The sequence below is a fragment of the Homo sapiens genome, chromosome 3 (assembly GCF_000001405.40).
Source record: "Homo sapiens chromosome 3, GRCh38.p14 Primary Assembly".
In the NCBI taxonomy this organism is placed as follows: domain Eukaryota; kingdom Metazoa; phylum Chordata; class Mammalia; order Primates; family Hominidae; genus Homo; species Homo sapiens.
Genome location: NC_000003.12, coordinates 129,552,601 through 129,575,288, shown reverse-complemented (window position 1 = coordinate 129,575,288; position 22,688 = coordinate 129,552,601). Strand labels below are relative to the sequence as shown.

Genomic DNA, 22,688 nt, shown 5'->3' with positions numbered 1-22,688 from the left:
GGGTCTCCGTGCATAGTTTCCCCTGCCTTCCTGGGCCTGATCGTCCCCATAGGAAACAGGACACAGTCCCTCTGCAGAGCTTGTAAGGACCTGATGAGCCAGGGCTCGCCCAACCTTGAGCGTGGCATCTGGGGTGTGGTCAGCTCCCCTCGCGTGGCAGCTGTGCAGTTGCTGTGACTGTCTGTGTTGGGTCCACTCTCCAGGGGCTCCTCTGTTCATGGGGAGTCTCAGGCATCCCTGGTGGACGTGGTGCCCTCCAGATTCCCACCATGAAGGTCCCAGAACGGCCCTGCATACCCAAGGTCCTGGAGAACCCTCCCTGCCCTCCTCTTTGGGCTACTTGGAGGGTTTGAAGCCCCAAAGTACTCATAGTCCACATTACTCAGGGATCCCCAGCATCCTAGGGCCCCGCCGGGGTTGATCAGACCCACTGAGGTCTGGGTGGGATCTGGCTTTACCACCCACAGGCCTCGTGAGCTCAGGCGAGTCCCTCCTGTCTGAGCGTCAGCCTCTTCTCTGTAAAGTGAGGCTGACCTGAGGCTCCCAGCTGGAGTCTCTGTGAGGGGAAGGAAATCAATGAAGCAGGGGCTGCACTGTGCTCAGCACAGGCCCCAGGGGTTTGGGGAAGGGGCTAAGAACCTCAGGGGATCCTGACCCCCAGAATCAGGACTTCCTCTGGGTGGGGCACCACAATGATGGGGCGCAGACCTCTTGACAGTTGTTGTGTGTGGAGGGCACAGCGGTGTTGGGGCATGCACCGCAGAGCGGGGCTGACCGAGCTGCCCCGTGTCTCCCCAGTCATGGTCTATAACTGTGCCATGGGCAGCCCCGACTGTTCCCAGTGCCTGGGCCGCGAAGACCTGGGTCACCTGTGCATGTGGAGTGATGGCTGCCGCCTGCGGGGGCCTCTGCAGCCCATGGCTGGCACCTGCCCCGCCCCCGAGATCCACGCGGTAAGCATGCCCAGTGGAGGCACGTGGCACCCGCACTCCGGCACGGCGCATGCGCAGTGCCCTCGAGGGTCCCACTTCTTGGGGACCCAAACGGCACATACACCGACACATGGGTGCAGTATCACCTGTGAACAAAAGGAAGTGCTCTGCCTCACAGAGCTGATGTTTCAGTGGGGGAGGTGGACAGTAATAAATAAGGAAATGAATAAATTATAGAAGGCATTGGAAGTGTGGCGTGGAGGAGACACCGAGGGCTGAATGTTGTTAGTTTCAGGGGATACCATGATCACTAAAGCCACCAATGACATGGCCAAACATTGCTCCTGGAAGCTGACCTCAGCATCCTCCAGGAGACCCCCTAAGTAGCGTCCCCAGGCCCACGTGGGCTCAGTAATGCACACCCACATCCTCCTTGCCAGCACAGTGACCTGCCAAGTGGCCACAGTCCCAGCCCCACCTGAGCCTCCAGACCTTCCTCTAAGCAGTGGGTCTGCACGGCTGTGCCCTGCTGGGTGCCTGTGACTGTGGGCAGAAGCCTGCTGGCCTGCAGCCTCAGATCCCATTCGCCCCTCTCTCGGGTCACCTGGCAGATTGAGCCCCTGAGTGGCCCGTTGGACGGTGGGACCCTGCTGACCATCCGAGGAAGGAACCTGGGCCGGCGGCTCAGTGACGTGGCCCACGGCGTGTGGATTGGTGGTGTGGCCTGTGAGCCACTGCCTGACAGATACACGGTGTCGGAGGAGTGAGTAGCCACGGTGCCCCCACCTACCTTCTCCAGCAGTGCCAGCCTCTGCTCTGTCCTCCTCACTCCTCCCTCCCCATCCTCTGTCCTCACTCTGCTGCTTTCTGGAAGACTGTTGCTTCGTGGCCTCCAGGCCTGTGCCGAAGCCATTCCCACCACACATCCTGCCGTTTCTGCTTGGGGCATCTGCTTTATCCCTCCAGCTCTGGCTCTGATGCCCACTCCTCTGGGAAGCCCTCACAGGCTGCCCTAGCACAGCCCTTCTTCCACCTAAGCCTTGCTCTGAGGAAAATCATTTGCAATTAAAAAGGCTGGGGCTACTGGCATGGTTTAGAGATCTGTGACTGGCCCAGAGGGGCCGTAGGAAATACGCGTGAGCAGAGACTGAACTGGCTTTCCTTTTGGGAGGCCGTGCATCAGGCGTGTGGAAGAGCCGTCATCTACCAGCCCAGCAGACGTTCTCATGATCAGAGACCCTTTTGTCCCACCCCCGTGTCTTATAGTTGCAGAACTGTGGGAAACTGATGGGGTAAATTATACATAGAAGGCATTGGAAGTGTGGCATGGCGTGGAATGGGGCGATCCCTGAGCCTGGCTCTAGGGTGGCCGTGGGGGCCAAGGACCGCTGGCTGACCACAGCACCTCCCCTCAGGATCGTGTGTGTCACAGGGCCAGCCCCAGGACCACTCTCAGGTGTGGTGACCGTGAACGCCTCTAAGGAGGGCAAGTCCCGGGACCGCTTCTCCTACGTGGTAAGGGGGGGCTGCAGCCCACTGTCCGGCCCGCCCAGCACGCACACTCCCGGGGGCTGGCCCGAGGCCCAAACGCCTGCCTTCCTCCCACAGCTGCCCCTGGTCCACTCCCTGGAGCCTACCATGGGCCCCAAGGCCGGGGGCACCAGGATCACCATCCATGGGAATGACCTCCATGTAGGCTCCGAGCTCCAGGTCCTGGTGAACGACACAGACCCCTGCACGGAGCTGATGTAAGCCTCTGGGCCTGGCCCATCCCTTCCAGCCCAGAGAAATCAATGGGCTTGGGGGCTGGCGGGCTGGAGGTGACATCCTTGAGCCAAGCCTCTCTTGGGTCTTCATTGGCTGTGTCCCCTAAGCCAAGCCCCTTCTCCTCTCTGAGCCTCAGTTTCCTCAGCTGGTAAGAATAGTACCAGTAATTGGAAGAAGGGCTTTGTGCCAGGTATACAGTAGTTGCTCCATAAGTGATAGCTGTAATGAGAATGGTGTTGATTGCACACACACAGATCTTCTGGCTGGCCCAGGGGTGTGGTGAGTGGCAGGGGTGTGGTTGGAGTCTGTTGGCGAAACACCTTTGTCTTTATTATGCACTTATTGTGTACCAGACCCCACTAATGGGCATTGCTGGGACACCAAGAGGAGCACAACATAGACCTCAAGGGAAGGGCAGACATACCCACGGGAAGTAGGAACATCCAGTGGGGCTAGGATTGGGAGAAAAGTCAGTGCCTTCAGGGATCTGGGGAGAGAGACTTCACCAGGGTTGGAGGCGGGAGAGAAGACCTGGGAAGGCTTCCTGGAGGAGGTGGGATGGGGCGGAATTTGGAAGTGTAAGGAAACAGCTGGGCACTAACTGGGCAGAAGATGAGTTGGGACCAGTCAAGGAGGCCTTGAACCCCAGGCCAAGTGCGTGGACTTGTGCCCCAGGTCTCAGGGGCATTGGCGGTGGGTGAGCAGCAGAAGGCAGGCCCTGCTGATAACCTGCTGCTCCCCCCAGGCGCACAGATACCAGCATCGCCTGCACCATGCCTGAGGGGGCCCTGCCGGCTCCGGTGCCTGTGTGTGTGCGCTTCGAGCGTCGGGGCTGCGTGCACGGCAACCTCACCTTCTGGTACATGCAGAACCCGGTCATCACGGCCATCAGTCCCCGCCGCAGCCCTGTCAGGTGAGACTGGCACCCCGCCCTTCCCCCAGGCTCTCTGGGGCTGCAGGTGCACTGATAGGTTTTGCTGTCCCCCGCAGTGGCGGCAGGACCATCACAGTGGCTGGTGAGCGTTTCCACATGGTGCAGAATGTGTCCATGGCCGTCCACCACATTGGCCGGGAGCCCACGGTGAGGCATTCGGGGGCCTGATGGGTGGGAGGGGGTGGCCCAGGCACAGCCAGGGCCCTAACTGACCAGGCCTCCTCCCACTGCATCTCTGTCCCCTCTTCCTCCCTCTGCCTCTGTGTCTCCTCAAACCCCACTCCCCACCGTTTCTCCATGCCCATCTGTCCATCCTGCATCCCGGCCTGGGCCCCTGGCTCTCCTGCACCAGCTCTGCAAGGTTCTCAACTCCACCCTCATCACCTGCCCGTCCCCCGGGGCCCTGAGCAACGCATCAGCGCCAGTGGACTTCTTCATCAATGGGCGGGCCTACGCAGACGAGGTGGCTGTGGCTGAGGAGCTACTGGACCCCGAGGAGGCACAGCGGGGCAGCAGGTTCCGCCTGGACTACCTCCCCAACCCACAGTTCTCTACGGCCAAGAGGGAGAAGTGGATCAAGCACCACCCCGGGGAGCCTCTCACCCTCGTTATCCACGTGAGCACCAAAGGGGCCGGGGTAGGCGGGGGCAAGCGAGCCAGCCTCAGCTGTGGGCCTCGGGAGCACTTCCCCATGAGCATCCTCCCCCTTTGCACCCACAGAAGGAGCAGGACAGCCTGGGGCTCCAGAGTCACGAGTACCGGGTCAAGATAGGCCAAGTAAGCTGCGACATCCAGATTGTCTCTGACAGAATCATCCACTGCTCGGTCAACGAGTCCCTGGGCGCGGCCGTGGGGCAGCTGCCCATCACAGTGAGTGGATGGGGCGCCGGAGCAGGGCAGACCTGGCCCCACCCCTGGCCCATCTGCCAAGCATCTGCCCCTCACCCAGCACCTGAATTCACTGAGCGTTTTCACGCTCAACAGCTCAGTCCAGCAAAGCAGAGCTTTACATCCCCACTTGACATATGAGGAAACTGAGGCCCAAGAACTTAGTGACTTGCTTGAGGTCAGTGATGGGCCCCATCTGGACCTGGACCATCAGAAACCATAAGAAATTGTCCCTGTCCCCCTTGGCGTCTATCCTAGAGCCTGGGCTGCCAGGCACCATGTAGAGGCAGGGGAGCAGGAGGAGCAGAGAGGGGCCAGAACACTATCTCCTTGCATGTCTCCTGGGATGGGGAGCTCACTCTCTCCCAAGCAGCGTGTGCCACCCCAGGATGGCTCTGACTGGGAAAGCTTTCTTTCACCTGCACCTCAGTCCCAGTCCTGCACTCTGAGTCCTCATACCTCACCTACCCCCTGGTCCCAGGGCAGCCTTGCAGATACTTGGGGACAGCAGCCAGGCCCCGTGAACTGCTTCCTCTTGCTCACTCACTACTCCTCCCAGGCTGTAATGATAATCACAGCCCCCTGCATTGAGCCACCTCTGTGCCAGGCCCAGGACCAAGGGCTTGACAAGCCCTCATTTAGCCTTCCCAGTGTCCCCAGGAGGTGGACATTGTTATCTCTATGTTATCAGTGTGGCACCTGAGGCTCAGAGAGGTTAGGTAATTTACCCAGGGCCACACAGCAAGTGAGGAGCAGAACTAGAGTATAAGTCCAGGAAAGCTACAACCCCCTTCCCCAACCTCTGCACAGATCCAGGTAGGGAACTTCAACCAGACCATCGCCACACTGCAGCTGGGGGGCAGCGAGACGGCCATCATCGTGTCCATCGTCATCTGCAGCGTCCTGCTGCTGCTCTCCGTGGTGGGTAAGGAGCCCCACCCTCAGGACACCTTGGAGGGCAGGCTTGCCACCTTGCCCCAGCCCCTCTGAAGATTGGCAGATGGGAGAAGGCAGGATGGGATGGGGCACAGCTTGAACAAAGGCTTGGCCATGGGAACAGGTTAGGCACCCAGAGGTTGGGGGAGGTGTGCCCTGGCTCCAGCACCAATGGGTAGAAGATGTTAGGTGGCCAGGGGATATGCTAGGCCCACGCCCAGGTCCCTGAATCTCAAGCAGAGAAATTTGGAACCATGTTCTCCAGTCAATAGAGAGCTACTGAAGGTACTTAAGAGAGGATTACTCAGGAAAAATTAACCTACATGTCTGGTGGGCTATACCACTGTTAAAATAATGGTCAATAAAGTAATAGACTCGATGTAGCAGAGAAACTGGAGCCATCATACGCTACTAGAGGGAATACAAAAAAGCGCAGCTGCTTTGGAAAACATTTTGGAAGTTTCTTAGGATGTGAAACATAGAATTACCCTATGACCTATGACCCAGCAATTCCACCCCTAGCTATCTGCTCAAGAGAAATGAAAACGTAGCCACACAAAAACTTGTACACACGTTTATAGCAACATTATTTATAATAACCAGGAAGTCAAAACAACCCAAATGTCCATCAACCAATAAATGAATAAATGAAATATGATCTATTCATACAATGGAAAATTATTTATCCGTAAGAAGGAGTGGAGTACTGATCCATGCCACCATGGGCAGGCACCTTGACAATATTACACTAACCAAAAGAAGACTCACCAAAGGCATATTGTATGATGCCATTTATATGAAATGTTTAGAATAGGGAAATTCATAGAGACAGAAAGCTGAATGGTGATTGCCAGGGACTAGGGAGAACACGAATGGGGAGTGACTGCTGCATGGGTATGGGTCTTCTTGGGGCAGCAAAAATGCTCTAAAATTAGTGGTGATGGTTGCACAACTCTGTGAATATACTAGAAACCATTGAATTAGGCCAGGCTCAGTGGCTTATGCCTGTAGTCCCAGCACTTTGGGAGGCCAAGGTGGGTGGCTCACTTGAGCCCAGGAGTTCAAGACCAGCTTGGGCAACATGGCAAAACTTTATCTCTACAAAAAATACAAAAATTACCTGGGCATGGTGGCATGAGTCTGTAGTCCCAGCTACTCAGGAGGCTGAGGTGGGAGGATCACCTGAGCCTGGGAGGTGGAGGCTGCAGTGAGATGTGATCGCGCCACTGTACTTCAGCCTGGGTGCCAGAGTAAGACTGTCTCAAAAGAAAAAAAGAAAGAAAAGAAACCATTGAAGTATACACTTTAAATCACTGGATTATATGGTATGTACGTTATTTCACAATAAAGCTGTTTTATTTTTAAAGTGAGTATATTCAATGCAGAAAATTTTTGGAAAAACTGAAAGATGATAAAAGGAAAAAATACCCATCATTAATACCCTGTGTATTTTTGTATCTTCCCTCCCAGTCTCTTTTCTGAAAATACTATATATTAATAGATATTTTAATACATTATGTATATATTCCTCCCCACCCCAGGAAAGGTTATAATGTAATATTGCTTTGTAATCTGCTTTTAAAAGTTTCTTAATTTACAAGTAACACCTGGTCATTGTAGAAGGAATAGAAAATGCTCAAAAGCAGAAAGTAAACCGAAGTCACCCAGAATCCTCCCACCCAGGAAAGCCACTGTTAACCACTATTTCACACACACGTATTCCTGTTTCTTTTTTTTTTTAACGGGGCTAGACAAATTCTAACAGAGCTGTAACACTACACACTTCTTTTTCTAAGGACGGGTCATCAGGCATTGCTTTGCTGGCCATTCCCCAAGCCCTCTGTCCACGGGAGAGCTCCCCGCAACTCCCCACCCCCCACCCCAACCCTGCCCAGGAGGGAGGACTGCAGGGCCTCCTCCCACACCCTGCCCAGAGGAGCTGGAGCGGAGGCCAGAATACAGCAGGCGCCAATAAAGGCTTTCCAAAGGGCACCAGAGGCCTGACCTGCCTCTCCACTGCCCGCAGCCCTGTTCGTCTTCTGTACCAAGAGCCGACGTGCTGAGCGTTACTGGCAGAAGACGCTGCTGCAGATGGAGGAGATGGAATCTCAGATCCGAGAGGAAATCCGCAAAGGTAGTGGGCGGGGACCCTGCAGGGCTGGGCCTCAACTTTCCCTCCTAGGGGATGGGTTCTCGGGCCGCTCACGGCTGTCCGTGTGTCCGCCAGGCTTCGCTGAGCTGCAGACAGACATGACAGATCTCACCAAGGAGCTGAACCGCAGCCAGGGCATCCCCTTCCTGGAGTATAAGCACTTCGTGACCCGCACCTTCTTCCCCAAGGTCAGCCCGAGCCTGAGCCTGCCCTGAACCTGTGCCAGCCACCTCAAGGCAACTCGACCTCTCTGAGCCCTGCCAGCCTATAGGGTCCCTTGAGCAGTGCCAAACCTGCACAGCTGTCCGCAGCCGTCCTGGCCACTTGCCCTGGCCTGCCACGGGGAGAAGGGTTGGAGGCAGATTCTCCACTGTCATTCTCTGCTCACTTGATGTTTAACAGTCCATATGGAAGCCAGCTGCAGCCCCGCTGTCCTGGCCAGCTGGGCCTGCCTCTCCCCTTTTCAAGGTGGGGCAGAAGCGGCCAGGGCTGTCCCAGGCCAGCCTCTCTCCTTCCTGTGCCTCTTCCCAGCCAGGCTTCCCTTGGTCTCTACACTCCCTCCTCCTGTCCACTGGACTCCTGCCCCATCCCTTCCATGCCTCTCATGCCTCCCCTTGCCCTTCCAGGGTCCACTACCCTCACTCTACCTCCTAGTGGTACCACCCTCTCTCCCCTGTCCACACCATTCCCCACACAGTGGCCAAAGCAAGCCCATGTTTGACTACATCATTTTTCACGAAACCCTCCAGTAGCTTTTCCCAGCCTCAGGCTAAAGCTCAGACTCCCAGCCTTTCTGCCTCAGTTTCCCCCATTGCACATGGAGCTGCTTTTGCTTCCCCTTAAGTCTTGTGCTGTCTTGTGTGGCCACACCCCTGGAATTCCACAGCCCCCAGGCTTGGCCCACTGCCTCTTAGTCCTTTATGGGGAGCTAATTCCGTGCCAGTTTCCCCCAGCAGCCCAAGCCAGTGCCCCTTTCTGTGTGAGTGACCTTTCCATGCCAGCAGGGGGTGTCCAGCCCCGCTGAGATGCTGGGGGTCTGCCTCTGCAGTGTTCCTCCCTTTATGAAGAGCGTTACGTGCTGCCCTCCCAGACCCTCAACTCCCAGGGCAGCTCCCAGGCACAGGAAACCCACCCACTGCTGGGAGAGTGGAAGGTGAGTACCCCACGACCCACACACAGTGGGCTGCTTCAGGGCAACCCTGCTCCCCCCTGGGTCCCCTTTCCAGTTCATCTAATGCATTGATCCCTGTCATGCGGAGTTGGGAGGCATCTGCCATTGTAAGGTACTGAGCCCTCCATCCCAGGAGGCATTCAGGCAGCCATTCAGGGTATTATAAGTGCTGCCCCCGCAGGCCAGGTAGAGCAGACAGAGGATTGGGCCCCCCTGTACACCCCACTCAACCTGCTTAGAAAATGGAAGGTGAGAGTCCTCCACACTGGGATGCCAGGTTACCTCCAGGCACCCTTACCCTTCTCTGAGCCCCACTTTTCAATTCAACCAAGCTATTGTTCCCTGTCACAAAGGTTAGGAGGCATCCACCGTGGAAGGTAATGAGCTCCCCATCCCAGGAGGCATACAAGCAGCCGTCGTAAGCACTGGCTGTTAGGCTAGGCAGGGACACTGGGCCCCTCTGGACACCCCATCACCAGTTGCTTCCACAGATTCCTGAGAGCTGCCGGCCCAACATGGAAGAGGGAATTAGCTTGTTCTCCTCACTACTCAACAACAAGCACTTCCTCATCGTCTTTGTCCACGCGCTGGAGCAGCAGAAGGACTTTGCGGTGCGCGACAGGTCAGGCTGTGACAGACTGGGGTGGGGTAGGGAAGAGGAGCCTGTCCAAGGCCACACAGCATCAGGTCCTGGGTCCTGGGGCTCTGGGGCTCTTGACACCCCCATATTCCAGCCCTTCCTGGGCCGGGATGCCCAAGACCTTGGCTCACGGGGCACGATGGTTGCTGTGGACGTAGAAGAAGGTGGCTGTTTCTCCAGGAGGATTCTAGCCCCACTCACCCCTCGCAGGACCCACCCACACAGGCACTCCTGGGATCGATGGGCCCGGGGATGAGGCGGCACTGAGACCCTGGGACCCACAGCTCCTAGGGCCTCAAGGTGCAGTTGACACCTGCCTCCCGCTCACAGGTGCAGCCTGGCCTCGCTGCTGACCATCGCGCTGCACGGCAAGCTGGAGTACTACACCAGCATCATGAAGGAGCTGCTGGTGGACCTCATTGACGCCTCGGCCGCCAAGAACCCCAAGCTCATGCTGCGGCGCACAGAGTCTGTGGTGGAGAAGATGCTCACCAACTGGATGTCCATCTGCATGTACAGCTGTCTGCGGGTGAGGCTGCCTGGGGACAGACAGAGCCCAGGCGGGGGACGTGGCAGGGACTCAGCGGCAGTGACCCCACGGCCTCCCAGGCCTTCCCTGGCACCCTCAGGCCAGCTCTGCCAGGAGGGAGTGTTGCATGAGACAGGCCAGGCCCGTAGGACCTGTTATGCAGAGAGGGGAGCCATGGCCCCGGGGAAGCCTGGCTGGCTTGCTGCAAGGGCTCAACGGATGCTTGGGGCATAACAGAGGTTGTGTCAGGGGCCTTGTCCCATCTGTGGTTTTCTCAGTCATCCACCCTTCCCTGCTCTGGATTCAGGAGATGAAATCAGCCCCTGGCTGGCCCTTGAGGCTCTCCCAGCCCTAGGCTAGGCGAGACGTGGAAACAAAATACAGGGTGGCCAGTGCCTCGCAGCAGAGCTCAGCTCACGAGGCCTCCCTCTGTCTGAAGGCTTCAAGGTGGCTTCCTGGAGCAGGCAACCCTGTGCTGAGACCTAAGAGAGTGAGCCAGGCGAGGAGTGGTGGGGAGGGTGCTCCAGGCATCGGGTACAGCACAAGGGCAGAGGCCGGGAGGAGGGGATGTTCGTGGAAGGAATAGAAGGAAGGCCAAAGAATCTTCTGGATGAGAGCGGAGGCTGGGAAGAGGGTGGGCCCGGTAACCAGGGCCTCCTGCACTCTGCCAGAAGGACCCCCATAAGCTCTCTTCGCAGAGCAAGGGTTGCTTAGCCTCTTGTCCTGTCCCACTGTCCAGCTGCCCTATGGTGGCAGAGGCTAGAGGGCTGCCTGGAGGATTGTGGGAGAAAGGCAAAGGCCTGCCTGGAGCCCAGAACCGGGGCCTCGGATGTTCTGTTTTTTGTTATTAATTTTTGAAGAGATGGGGGTCTTGCTTTGTTGCACAGGCTGGTCCCAAACTCCTGAGCTCAAGCAATCCTCCCGCTTTGGCCTCCCAAAGTGCTGGGATTACAGGGGTGAGCCACTGCACCCAGCCAAGATGTCCTGGGCTTGAGTCCAATCTTTGGCACAGCCCAGCTGTGTGACTCTGGGCTACTCATTGCCCTCTGTGGGCCTTGGTTTCCTTCTGTCAAATGGGGCCTCTGCCCCTGAGCCTGGGGCTTGAGGGCCAAGTAGCCTGGGGGAGCCCCACGGCTCCTCCTGGGGGAAGGGGGTAGTGGGGTGGAGCAGAGGCAGGGCCTGGGAGGGGCCATTGGGGTGCCTCCGCCTTCTGCGGGCTGCCTCACTGTGGGCCATCAGGAACCACAAGGGCCACTGTGGACCCTGGACCTCACTCCCCTGGCTTCTTTCTGTGGCCTCAGCCAGGCCTTCCCCTATGAGCCTGTTTCCTCCTCTAGGAAGCAGGGAATCAGTGCCTCCCACGCCCCAGACCTGGAGAATTGGACCAGGACTTGGGCTGGCAGGCTGCCTTCGTAATCTTTGCCAAATCTGCCTAATACTATTATGTACTTAATTTTTCTTTAAATCAATTTTTGTGGATAGTTAAGTAAAACTATCCCAGTGGAACACCTGGGTCCCTTGCTGGGCAATGGCCTTGAGAATCAGCTCATGGCTGTGGGTCCAGCAGAGCCACTGCCTGGAGGGCCACCCTTGGAGATGGGCAAGAGCAGGGACATTGAGCCCCATTCCTCCTGAGACTCCATAGTCATCAGCCTGCAAGTGGGGTCGAGGCCACATCGGTGTTTCGGGTCCACCTAAACTCACACTTGGGGGCCCCCCACTTAGTAGAAAGTCACAGGCTTGGGAGTCAGCCGAGCCAGGTCCGATTCCTGCCCTGCCGCTTCCCAGCTGGGTGATCTTGGGCAGGTCACTTGCCCTCTCTGAGCCTCGGCACTGTTGGCTGCACAGTAAGAATGATACTCCGTATCCGGAAGGGTTGCCGGGATGATGCAATGAATGCACCCACCCACAGCTGGTGGTGTTTAATGAACACGAGCTTAGGGTCCGTGGAGACACCCTGGAGAGGAGAGTGTTGACACCAGGATCCAAAAGGAGACTGTTGGAGGGGTTGGGGGACGGGGGCGTGAAGGTGTTTGGCCCAAAGCATGGGGGCTGGAATACAGAGGGGGCCTTGGCCCTGATACCCCCGTGCCCCTCAGGAGACGGTGGGGGAGCCATTCTTCCTGCTGCTGTGTGCCATCAAGCAGCAAATCAACAAGGGCTCCATCGACGCCATCACAGGCAAGGCCCGCTACACACTCAGTGAGGAGTGGCTGCTGCGGGAGAACATCGAGGCCAAGCCCCGGGTAAGTCGGCAGGGCGGGGAGGGTCCCAGGGCTGCTGTGTCGCCGCCAACGGCATTGACCCAGCCTTCCTCTGCAGGGCCTTGCTGCCTGGGCACTGACATAGTGATGGCAGCAACTCACTGACCTTTCTCTCCCACTCTCCCCCTGCAGAACCTGAACGTGTCCTTCCAGGGCTGTGGCATGGACTCGCTGAGCGTGCGGGCCATGGACACCGACACGCTGACACAGGTCAAGGAGAAGATCCTGGAGGCCTTCTGCAAGAATGTGCCCTACTCCCAGTGGCCGCGTGCAGAGGACGTCGACCTTGGTGGGTGGGAATGGGGGCAGAGACCCCGTGTCAGGCGCTTCAGCCGGGGCTGGCCCCTGCCTTGACGGGAAACACTCCTTTCACCTGGCATGGGTGCATGAATGTGGGGACACTGAGAGGATCCAATGAGGCCCCCTCAGCAAGAAGCTCTTACTCTGTAGGAGACAAGTCCTGCAGTGTGAGTGAACTACGGACAACAGCAAAAAGCCTTCAGGAAAGGCTTCCTAATTCCTAAAGGAGGGATGCTGGAGTAGGGTTGGTTTGTTTGTTTGTTTTTGAGACGGGATCTCATTCTGTCACCCAGGCTGGAGTGCAGTGGCGCAATCTCAGCTCACTGCAGCCTCGACCTCCTGGGCTCAAGTGATCCCCTCATTTCAGCCTCCTGAGTAGCTGGGACTACAGGAGTGCACCACCACATCCAGCTAATTTTACTTTTTGTAAAGATAGTGTCATGCTGTGCTGCCCAGGCTGGTCTTGAACTCCTGGGCTCAAGCGATCCTCCTGCCTCATCCTCCCAAAGTGCTGGGATTACAGGTGTGAGCCACCGCGCGGGGCCTGGAGTGGGTTTTATAGGAGTCTTGGTTAGGCCAAGGGTTTCATCAGCAATTGTAACATGAACAGCCTTGCAGACAAGGCCATTTCCAGAGCTCCTCCTCTGTGCCCTCCACCCTGGCACCTTCTCTTTGTACCCTCACACTCTCCCCCAGCTCTTTCCTGCCCTCCCCATTTTACAGATGGGAAAATGGAGGCTCAGAGAGAGGTATGGCTTGCCTCAGTTTACATGGAGAGAGCGAGAGGCCTCTCCCTATGTGGCTGGGCCGGTACCTACCCCTCAGGCCCAGCTCCCTGCCCGGACCCTGATGGCCTGTCCCTTGTCCCCCAGAGTGGTTCGCCTCCAGCACACAGAGCTACATCCTTCGGGACCTGGACGACACCTCAGTGGTGGAAGACGGCCGCAAGAAGCTTAACACGCTGGCCCATTACAAGGTGCAGCCCTGCCCCCCGCCCCCATTTCCCCACCCTCATGCCCCCACCCCAACCTCCGGCCTCTGACCTCGGCCTCTCCCCTCCCATCAGATCCCTGAAGGTGCCTCCCTGGCCATGAGTCTCATAGACAAGAAGGACAACACACTGGGCCGAGGTAGTGCGGGTGCACGTGGGAAGGGAGCCCAGGCTGCGTGTGGACAGGGGCTTCCATCCCATGCCCCAGTGGGGAAGCTGAGGCTCCGAGAGGCAGGGCTGGCCTGGGCTGAGGCCTCCTTGGTGGGGGCTGGGCGGGGCCAGCCTCCTCTGACCCAGTACTGCTGGGGCAGGGCCCACACCAGGCCTCCTCAAGCTGATTTCCTGCGGCAGCTGGAGAGAGGCCCCGGGAGGGCGGGATGCAGTTCCAGGAGGTCTGGGCAGCAGCCAGGCCAGAAGGGGGGCCAGCATGCCCGTCTCAGCCTTGGGCCATGTCCCTGCCTCAAGTGCCCCCTCCACACCCTCAGACGCCCCAGGCACAGCCTCCTGGCTGCCAGGCCTGCGAGCCCGGGATCCTCTGGGTCTCGGGGTCCCCTTCTAAGGTTGAGAGCAGAGTCTCAGTCTCTCCCAGCAGCCTGGGAATCTGGGCTGGCAGGAGCTCTGGGCTCAGGGGTGGGGTGGGCAAAGGCACCCACCCCCGCCTGCCTGGGGCCCCTCCTCCCCCGTGGCTGCATCTTCCTGTTTCTCTCCACCGCTGTCCCTCCTTCCAAGTCCCTCCATCCCGGGTCACTGTGTGTGTGTCTTTCTCTCTCTGCCTCACTCTGTCTCGCTCGCTGTGTGTCTCTGGATCTCACTTATCTCTCTCTCCGTCTCTCCCAGACTCAGTCTCCCCATGCGTCTCTGCATCTCTGTCTCATTCTCTCTGACTGTCTCTTTGGATCTCTGTCTCCGTTTCTGTTTCTCTCTCCATCTTTCTGTCTCTGCTTCTGTTTCTCTCCCCATCTTTCTGTCTTGTTTCTGTTTCTCACTCCATCTTTCTGTCTTCATTTCTGTTTCTCTCCTCTCCTCTCCCGTGTTTATTTATTGTGTTTTTCCTCTCACAGTGAAAGACTTGGACACAGAGAAGTATTTCCATTTGGTGAGTGCCCAACCTCGGCCCCGGGGGATCCAGCCCCTCAGTGGGTGTGGCCTTGGCTTTCTGTGGCCCTGGGCCTCTTGGGAAAAGTGCTCCCAGCCCTGCGAAAGGCTGGGGGGTGGGGGAGTAGGGATGGGGCCCAGAATCAGGAGGGAACCACAGCCCTTGTGTGCTAAGAAGCATGGCAGAGCCAGACCTCCCACAGGCGGCCGAGGATGGGGCCTGGTGCGGACACTGACCACTGCCCGGCCTCCCAGGTGCTGCCTACGGACGAGCTGGCGGAGCCCAAGAAGTCTCACCGGCAGAGCCATCGCAAGAAGGTGCTCCCGGAAATCTACCTGACCCGCCTGCTCTCCACCAAGGTGAGTCCGGCCTCAGTCTCCCCTCTGTGCAGTGGGTACAAGGCTCCAGCCCCAGCTCCAGAGGGTCATTGCTCAGGGCCAGCTGTGCACCCGCGGCTGGGAGAGGGGTGTGAGTTCTTCCTGTTTCCCCTGTGGGGCTGGAGGGGCAAGAGGCTGAAGGCTTAGGGTCCCACTTGAGGAGGCATTTCTCACAGCCAGGAAAAATGCCTGACAGAGACTTCTATGTTAGCCCACGTAACAGGGTACAGCAGAGGCCCAGAGGGATCAGTGATGTCCCCAAGGCCACGTGGCTCAGTGGCAGCGCCGGCACCCCACAGCCCATACTCTGGCACTTCCAGTTCTCGACTCCATGTGCCAGTGCCTCGATTAGTCCTTTCAACGCCTCTGGGAGGCAAGTGAGCCAGAGAGGCTCGGTGACCAGCCTGATGCCATGTGGCTTCCTCATTCAGCAGCCTGGCATTTCAAGCTCCGCAGAGCCACCAAGGGTGCCCACTAGCCCTCTGCACGTGGCCCGGGGCTGACGGCGGCCACCCCACTCCCCCGCAGGGCACGTTGCAGAAGTTTCTGGATGACCTGTTCAAGGCCATTCTGAGTATCCGTGAAGACAAGCCCCCACTGGCTGTCAAGTACTTTTTCGACTTCCTGGAGGAGCAGGCTGAGAAGAGGGGAATCTCCGACCCCGACACCCTACACATCTGGAAGACCAACAGGTGGCGGGTGGGGGGGCCGTGTGGACTTCACTGTGCCACTGGGGCCCCTGTGGCAGGGGGTTCAGAGTCTAGTCTTCTGGCCTCGCCTGCTTGGGGTCAAGCCCTCCTCTGCCATTTCCCAGCTGTGTGTTCTCGGATGAGTGACTTAGCCTCTCTGTGCTTCAGTTTCCCCTCCACTGTAAAATGCGACCCATGTTAATGGTGGGAATTAACTAGAAGAGTGCCCAGAAGCATGGTCTAGGTGTTGCCCTTACTATCATTCTCCCGCACCCCTCTCAGGTGGGCACCATCAGCTCCACTTCACAGATAAGCACACTGAGGCTCGGAGAAGCAGCACCTGCTCAAGACCACACAGCCTGGGACAGTAGAGCCAGGCTCGGCCCTACATTATCTGAATCTCTTACCCAGTTGGTAGCCCTCCTTTGAGGCACCTCTTAGCTTGTCGGGGTCATGCACCCCCACAAGAAGTTGCTGGAAACCCAGCCTGACCCTCAGGAAGAATACCACCAGCCCAGGCGCCTCTGTGCAGGGCAGCAGCTTCCTAGAGCTCTGGGGGTACACATGCCCAGGCTGCTGAGTCACTGGGTGGCCTGAGGTGGGGGTGGGGGTGTTGCTCACCCTCTCTGGCCTCTTGAGGACAAGGCCAGAGCTCCAGGCCCTGCCCCCCACAGCCCTGCCACAGCTGCTCTGCTAATGTCGGACTTCCTGCTGCCTGCAAGGGTTCAGGGAGGAGCCAGGGGTGCCCGGGGGCCGGCACCTGGTTCTAATGAGAACCAGGACCTGACTGGAGGCTCAGGAGGGGGTTGGGGGGTACAGCTAAGCCCTGTAGCTCCTGCCTTGCTCCAGCAGGAAACCGGGCTCTCAGCCCCACTGCACCCCAGCTGGCCAGGGATAGGCAAACTAAGGTTCCCAAAGGTCACATCTTGTGACAAGGCTCCAACCTCAGGCCCTTGAGGGACAAAGCCAGCTCTCTCCTCCACAACTGTCCCTCGACTGCTTCCTACCCCACCCTACCCTCACTGTCTTTGTCACCCTACCCCACAGCCTTCCTCTCCGGTTCTGGGTGAACATCCTGAAGAACCCCCAGTTTGTCTTTGACATCGACAAGACAGACCACATCGACGCCTGCCTTTCAGTCATCGCGCAGGCCTTCATCGACGCCTGCTCCATCTCTGACCTGCAGCTGGGCAAGGTCAGCTGTTCCCAGGACCAGGCCAGGCCCATGCACAGGGCCAGAGTGGGGTGCCGACCATGGGTAGCCTCCTCGACTCTCTGAGGCTGAGCTCAGAGATCTTCCTGGGAGGGGAACCAAAAGATCTCAGGTCTAGGGGATGTGGGATGAGTGACTCATTCAGACAGGGAGACACCTAGAAGCCAGTACCTTCCATCAGAAACTCTGTATCGCTGCAGACCAACTGCACATGCTGCAGCTGTGCCTGGCACTGGCTTTGAACACAGGCCTGAGAACCCGGTGTGGGAAAGCCAGTATGAGCTTGGACAACCTGCTTGGTCAGGCACAACATCATCTGAAAACCGGGCCAGGCTCTGGGCAGTAGCCCCTGAAAGTCAAAAGCCATTCAAGCGAGCATTCAGTGAAGGGGTGGGCAGAGGGGTGATGGGTGGCTAGGAGCTCTGAGATTCATGCGGTGTGTTGGGGGCACACAAGGCTGTGTCTGGCTTTAGAGGTTGAAGATGAAAGAGGATGGCCTTCCAGGCAGAGAGAACGGCGCAGGCAAAGACAGGGAGGCAGGAAAGCAGCCGGTTGCTGTGAGCAGGGATGAGATTGTATCATTAAAGCTGGCACTGCAGGATTGGTCCAGGTCGTGTGTGACCCTGCATTTAGCCCACGCATTTCAGAGACGGACCACGGGAAGGAGAAAATGCCATCGCTCCACTACTACTCACGTACTGCCTCCGAAGGCAGGGTGCCCGTGACTGACAAAGAACTGGGAGTGTTCTTGGCACTTCTTTCAGGCGTTAGGAGCATGTGGTGGGAAATATTCCACTGAGCCAGCACTCAGGCTTCCAGGAATCCTAGCCACCAAGACCTATCACCCTGAGAAGGACACATCCTTGTTACGTGGAATGGGCTGCGTGCAGTGAAGAGCTGGCATGCCCGTGCACTTTTCCCCTGAAAGAAGTAGGGCCCCTCCCCACCCACATCATTGTCCTAACAGTCCTGGGGAAAGTAGGCGGGGCAGACAGAGCACAGTGAGGAGCCCCTGGTCTGGGGCCGGCTGAGTGCGGGGACGTTCAGTGACCGGGTGAGACTCTTTGGGCCTCGGGGGCCTGCTAAGGTCACTTATGTGGCAGGAGGGATGAGGGCTCATCCAGAAAACGACCAGATCCGTCCTTTCTCCAGCAGCCATCTAACACCCTCGCTCTTCTCTGCCCAGGATTCGCCAACCAACAAGCTCCTCTACGCCAAGGAGATTCCTGAGTACCGGAAGATCGTGCAGCGCTACTACAAGCAGATCCAGGACATGACGCCGCTCAGCGAGCAAGAGATGAATGCCCATCTGGCCGAGGAGTCGAGGGTGCGGTGGCTCGGCGGCGGGGGATGGGGGCCTGAAGAGCTGAGGGATCGGGGGTCGGGGGCTGGGCCTCAATGCCTCCACTGGAGTAAGGGCAGGGAGCGCAGAGGGCATTTCAGAAGTGGCTGTGGCCTCTTGCTGGCCTGCAAATTCGTCATGCATTTTCCCAGAGTTTGAGGAGCGGGGGCAGGAGAGCACCCTCTGGATGGAGAGGAGATTGGACTTCAGGGTCCGGGAAGCCGTCTTCGTCCATGGGACTTGAGGGGCCTCATCGCTGAACTGTTCTGTGGGGGCCGTGGGGAGTTGGGGATTGTGTGCAAGCAGCTGGCTTTGCTGGGACTAGGCTCAGCTTTGACCGCTGGGCTAACCTCCTCCCCATCCTGCCTCCTTATAGAAATACCAGAATGAGTTCAACACCAATGTGGCCATGGCAGAGATTTATAAGTACGCCAAGAGGTATCGGCCGCAGGTGAGTGCCCCAGGGTGAGGCACCTGCCCTCGGGGTAGGTGAGCTTCCTACTCAAGGACACACATCTCAGGGTGCTTGCCCCTAATGGACGGATGTCACTCGTGGTAGACGTTCAGGGGTGTGTTCTCTCCCACGAACTGAGGCAGGGCTACCGGCCATGGCCCGGCTGACTCCGCTGCTCCCCTCAGATCATGGCCGCGCTGGAGGCCAACCCCACGGCCCGGAGGACACAACTGCAGCACAAGTTTGAGCAGGTGGTGGCTTTGATGGAGGACAACATCTACGAGTGCTACAGTGAGGCCTGAGACACATGGAGAGTTGGTCAGGCTGCTGCTGGGAGAAATGGACGCCCACTGGGCCTCAACTTGATCTTCTACCCCGTGCCTGTGACTCAGACTGGGAAATACTGAGCAGAGACGGCTGGGGCGGGGGCAGGAGGAGGGGCTGCTCTCTGAGACAGGGGCGCCCCCGCCTTGACCCCTGGGCACCTCCATCCCCTCCCACCTGTCCCCAGATCAGTCTCTGGGATGGAGGCCAGAGAGCTGGTCAGGCTCCCCCATCTGCCCAGCACGGCCTGCACTGTGCCCACCCACTTGCTCCACAACGTCCAGTTGGTCCTGCTGCCAAGAGCCCCGTGCATCCAGGCGGCCAAGCACAAACTGGGGGAGAGGAGGCCGCCAGCCCGGAGGCTGCAGCCCAGAAACTCTACCTCATCCACACTGGTGCAGGGAGCCCTCCTTGAACTGACCTTTGATTGGTTTCTGCTTCAACTACCAAAATGTTATCTCCACTTCCCCCTCACCCGTAGAGGATCCTGGCCACAGACAGTTTCAAGTAGTGTCAGATTTTTGTTGCTTGGGCGGCTGTTGGTAGAGTGGGCAGTGCCCGCGCCATGGGGTGCTCTGTGGGCTTCTCCAGGAGCAGGGAGGGTGGAGGGGAGGGATGGGGGGCACAGGAGCTGGGAGCCCCGTCTCCAGGAAAAGGAGAGGGGTTAAGATGCACCGAGGCTGTAGCTGGGCTACTTGATCTTGCTGAAAGTGTTTCTAAAGATAGCACCACTTTTTTTTTTAAAGCTTTTATATATTAAAAAACGTATCATGCACCAACTGTGAATAGCTGCCGCTTGCGCAGAGGACCCGGGGAGGGGTCCCGAGAGGCTCCCCATGCAACACTGGAAATGACTGTTCCAGAGAGCGGGCAGACCTGGCAGAGCGCCCCTGGCGCCTGAGACTACCACCCACTCCGTTCCTGCCAGAAACGACCCTCTGTGGCCGATGGGCCATGCGGGCCCCTCGCAGCCAACTCAGCCAGTGTTGGGACTGGCTCAGAGCCCATGGGGGCTGGAGGGGGGCAGCTGGGACTCTGGAATCTTCTTTATAATAAAAGCCTTACGGACAAACCTACTGTGGGCTCCAGCCTTTGTCCTGAGATAGCCAAGCGGGAGAATGGGCAGTTTCTTTACCAGTTTGTGAGAGAGAGGAGGGAGGGAGCCTGCCGTCCCTCCTGTCTCAGCTGCACTCTTGAGGTTTGGGCAGACACCTGACTAGCTTCTGAGAAGGCAGTCAGAGGCCAGGAGATGAAACGAGACGGTGCAGGCTGCATGCATGCTGTGGGCCCGGCCCAGAGCTGCCATTCCTTAAGCTCTGAGGACACCCCGGGACCTCCAGGAAGATTTCACAGCTGCTGTGTGCTGCCTGCAACTGGGTGGGCCCTGCTCCTAACCTCATCTCTAACAAGCCCGTCAGGAATGTGCTAGCATCCCTGTATGACAGACGCAGCAACTTGAGGCTCAGCACAGCTGAAGCAATTCTCAAGGTCACACAACCAGGAAGGGACAGAATAAGGACCAGGTCCCATGGTCCTTCCGGGCCAGAGTCTCCACAGTGGTCCCCAAAATGGGCGGGGAGGCCAAAGGTGACCACCCTGGAAAGGGAACTGACACTTAACTTACCCCGAATTTCTCATCAAGCTTAAAAAATACGTAGCATTAAGCTCATTTCTCAGACAAGGAAGCAGGCAGTTTAACCCCCAAGCCCAGTTTAACCCTAAACGCTGTTCCCCACAAGTACAGGCTGTTCCTCACCCCTGCCCACAAGAACAATGAACCTGATGCAGACACCCCTTTCCAGCCCTGCTGGCTCCTCTCCAACCCCAGGGAAAGATCTCGAGAGCCAGCTCCAAAGGTACAGCAACTCCACTTAATTTCTTGCTTTTTTGAAGGAAAAATAGTTACACATGTATTTATCAAGAGTAAGAACTAGGACAAAAGATTCATAAAATTTAAACAAAATCCCACAAATACCAGTTCTAAAATTAATGAGAACAGAAAAGTGAGAACAGTAAACAACCTTTTGCTTTAAAAATAGCTTTTTCCTACAGTGGCTTCTGTGTGGAGAGATAGTCTTTATCTTTCACATTTTCTATTCTGAGCATTGATTCCTTCTTATTAAGCAGCAGATTTTCTAATTTAAGTTATCAGCACATTTGATAGCATTTTGAGGGTGAGGGGGGTGGGTGTGATTCTGGAATGAATACACGGTTCCCAGAGAAATGTAGGAAGCACAAAAAGCGTGAAGAAAATAAAAGCTGCCCTAACCGTTTGTGGCGAGCGTCTCTGAGAACGCCAGCCGCACGGGGCGCTTGGATGGGGCGGGGCCGAGGAGTGAACTCAGGATCAGGGTGTGCACACCATTTTGCAACCTGATTTTCCCCCATGCGACAATATGTCAGTAACATCTTTCTATGTCATTAAATATTCCACAGCCTGTCTTAATGTCTGATTAACATTCAGTTCCTCCTTGACGTTTAGAAATGTATTTGCAAATGGAGGAAATCTCTAGTTTCCAGAGTCGTTTCTCAGCGCAGAAGGTGGCCACCTTCCATGAACCAATTATAATCCTTATCTGGGGCTCTGAGGACCTGGCAGCTGTGGGCAGGAGGGAGGTTCCTACCCTTTGAGGGTCATAGGAGGCTAGGGACCCCTGATGTAGCATCCTTAAACTAAACTCCTTTGAAAAGGAAAGAAACCATTGCAGCTAAGGGAGGTAACTTGCCCAAGGTTTCATGGATGCTAGACACCCCCCACCCCTGTCCCCAGCTCATGGACGTGAGATGCCCACTGATGCCCCCCGCACTGCAGGCTGCCTGGGGGTGCCACAGCACTGGGCCAAGCCGTGAATGAGCAGTGGCAGGAGCAGACCCCTCCTCAGGAAGCACCAGCCCGGCCCCATCCCACCATCTGCTCTGGGTGCCCTTCTGGGTCCTGCTGGCAGCCACATTACAGACACCCCAGGGGGGCTGTCAGCACATCTAGGCAAAGCCGGGATTCCAGGAGGAGAGGGTGGGGTGGTGGAGCAGGGGCAGGAAGGGAGCAGCTGATGCCCCATGCTGAGCAGCCTGCTTCCCTTTGTGCCCCGTCTGCCCCCTTCTCAAGTCCTGTGCAGTTTGCCTCTGACTCCCTTTAGTCCACCCCTTCCTTCTCTCTGTCCTCCGTGGCTAGGCTGCCACCTCTCATCAGGACCATATCTCGGCAGCCTCCTGGCACGTGCCAAGTCCTCACCTCAGGAAATGGTCACCCAGCAGTCACTTAGCTATCTAGACCCCAAATTGTGGACTGACTCATCAGTGACCCTTCCTACATCCAATCCATCAGCAGAGCCCGTTCACACCATCTTCAACAGCGATCCAGAAGCTACCACTTCTAACCCTCCCTCTGTGAGCATGTCCTGGCTGGTCACCACCCCCTTCATCTGGGTTGTGGCAGGAGCCTCCTCACAGGCCTGTCTGCCCGCCCACATCCCTGCAGAGACTCTGTTGCTTGCCGTCCTCTAATGGTTCCTTATGACAAAGCCCACCGTGCTTGCCCTTGGCTTACAAGGCCCTGCGTGATCCAGCCGCCATCTACCCTGCAGCCCTTGTTCCAGTGAAAGGAAGGGGATCTGTTTAGAAAGATATATTGCTATGGGACACACCACCCCAGTACCTAGTGGCTTAAAATAACAGCAGTCACTTATTTT

The 22,688-nt window shown here is 57.4% G+C and overlaps 1 protein-coding gene across 7 annotated transcripts in view, besides 3 other annotated features; it reads left to right on the top strand.

The window, feature by feature from the left end:
• The window catches only part of PLXND1 (plexin D1), a 51,463-nt gene extending 31,388 nt beyond the window's left edge, over nt 1-20,075 (top strand). For 2 of the 7 annotated variants that reach the window (XM_011512589.2, NM_015103.3), the window contains 25 exons: nt 799-953; nt 1,544-1,695; nt 2,348-2,447; nt 2,541-2,680; nt 3,445-3,612; nt 3,690-3,780; nt 3,986-4,249; nt 4,354-4,503; nt 5,332-5,446; nt 7,484-7,591; nt 7,685-7,797; nt 8,658-8,762; nt 9,272-9,402; nt 9,751-9,949; nt 12,049-12,195; nt 12,346-12,502; nt 13,386-13,489; nt 13,580-13,643; nt 14,566-14,600; nt 14,855-14,959; nt 15,506-15,669; nt 16,714-16,861; nt 18,066-18,206; nt 18,598-18,672; nt 18,861-20,075. In XM_011512589.2, coding sequence (XP_011510891.1) covers nt 799-953; nt 1,544-1,695; nt 2,348-2,447; nt 2,541-2,680; nt 3,445-3,612; nt 3,690-3,780; nt 3,986-4,249; nt 4,354-4,503; nt 5,332-5,446; nt 7,484-7,591; nt 7,685-7,797; nt 8,658-8,762; nt 9,272-9,402; nt 9,751-9,949; nt 12,049-12,195; nt 12,346-12,502; nt 13,386-13,489; nt 13,580-13,643; nt 14,566-14,600; nt 14,855-14,959; nt 15,506-15,669; nt 16,714-16,861; nt 18,066-18,206; nt 18,598-18,672; nt 18,861-18,977 — 3,248 coding nt within the window. In that variant the 3' untranslated portion in view covers nt 18,978-20,075. Of the gene's footprint in view, nt 1-798; nt 954-1,543; nt 1,696-2,103; nt 2,225-2,347; nt 2,448-2,540; nt 2,681-3,444; nt 3,613-3,689; nt 3,781-3,985; nt 4,250-4,353; nt 4,504-5,331; nt 5,447-7,483; nt 7,592-7,684; nt 7,798-8,657; nt 8,763-9,271; nt 9,403-9,750; nt 9,950-12,048; nt 12,196-12,345; nt 12,503-13,385; nt 13,490-13,579; nt 13,644-14,565; nt 14,601-14,854; nt 14,960-15,505; nt 15,670-16,713; nt 16,862-18,065; nt 18,207-18,597; nt 18,673-18,818 lie in introns of those variants that run through there. The other 5 variants (XM_011512588.3, XM_011512592.1, XM_047447765.1 and 2 more) reach the window with 5 other exon arrangements.
• Nucleotides 1,508-2,233: an enhancer, noted in NCBI's record as "H3K27ac-H3K4me1 hESC enhancer chr3:129291899-129292624 (GRCh37/hg19 assembly coordinates)". NCBI's record gives its function as "activates a minimal SCP1, AML or CMV promoter by ChIP-STARR-seq in primed H9 embryonic stem cells {active_cell/tissue: H9 hESC(primed)}" and the evidence as "EXISTENCE:reporter gene assay evidence [ECO:0000049][PMID:30033119]".
• Nucleotides 16,089-16,978: an enhancer, noted in NCBI's record as "H3K27ac-H3K4me1 hESC enhancer chr3:129277154-129278043 (GRCh37/hg19 assembly coordinates)". NCBI's record gives its function as "activates a minimal SCP1, AML or CMV promoter by ChIP-STARR-seq in naive H9 embryonic stem cells {active_cell/tissue: H9 hESC(naive)}" and the evidence as "EXISTENCE:reporter gene assay evidence [ECO:0000049][PMID:30033119]".
• Nucleotides 16,229-16,523: an enhancer, noted in NCBI's record as "tiled region #1469; HepG2 Activating DNase unmatched - State 14:Gen5', and K562 Activating non-DNase unmatched - State 7:EnhWF". NCBI's record gives its function as "activates a minimal TATA promoter and a strong SV40 promoter by Sharpr-MPRA in HepG2 and K562 cells {active_cell/tissue: HepG2 | K562}" and the evidence as "EXISTENCE:reporter gene assay evidence [ECO:0000049][PMID:27701403]".
• Nucleotides 20,076-22,688: the final 2,613 nt, after the last annotated feature.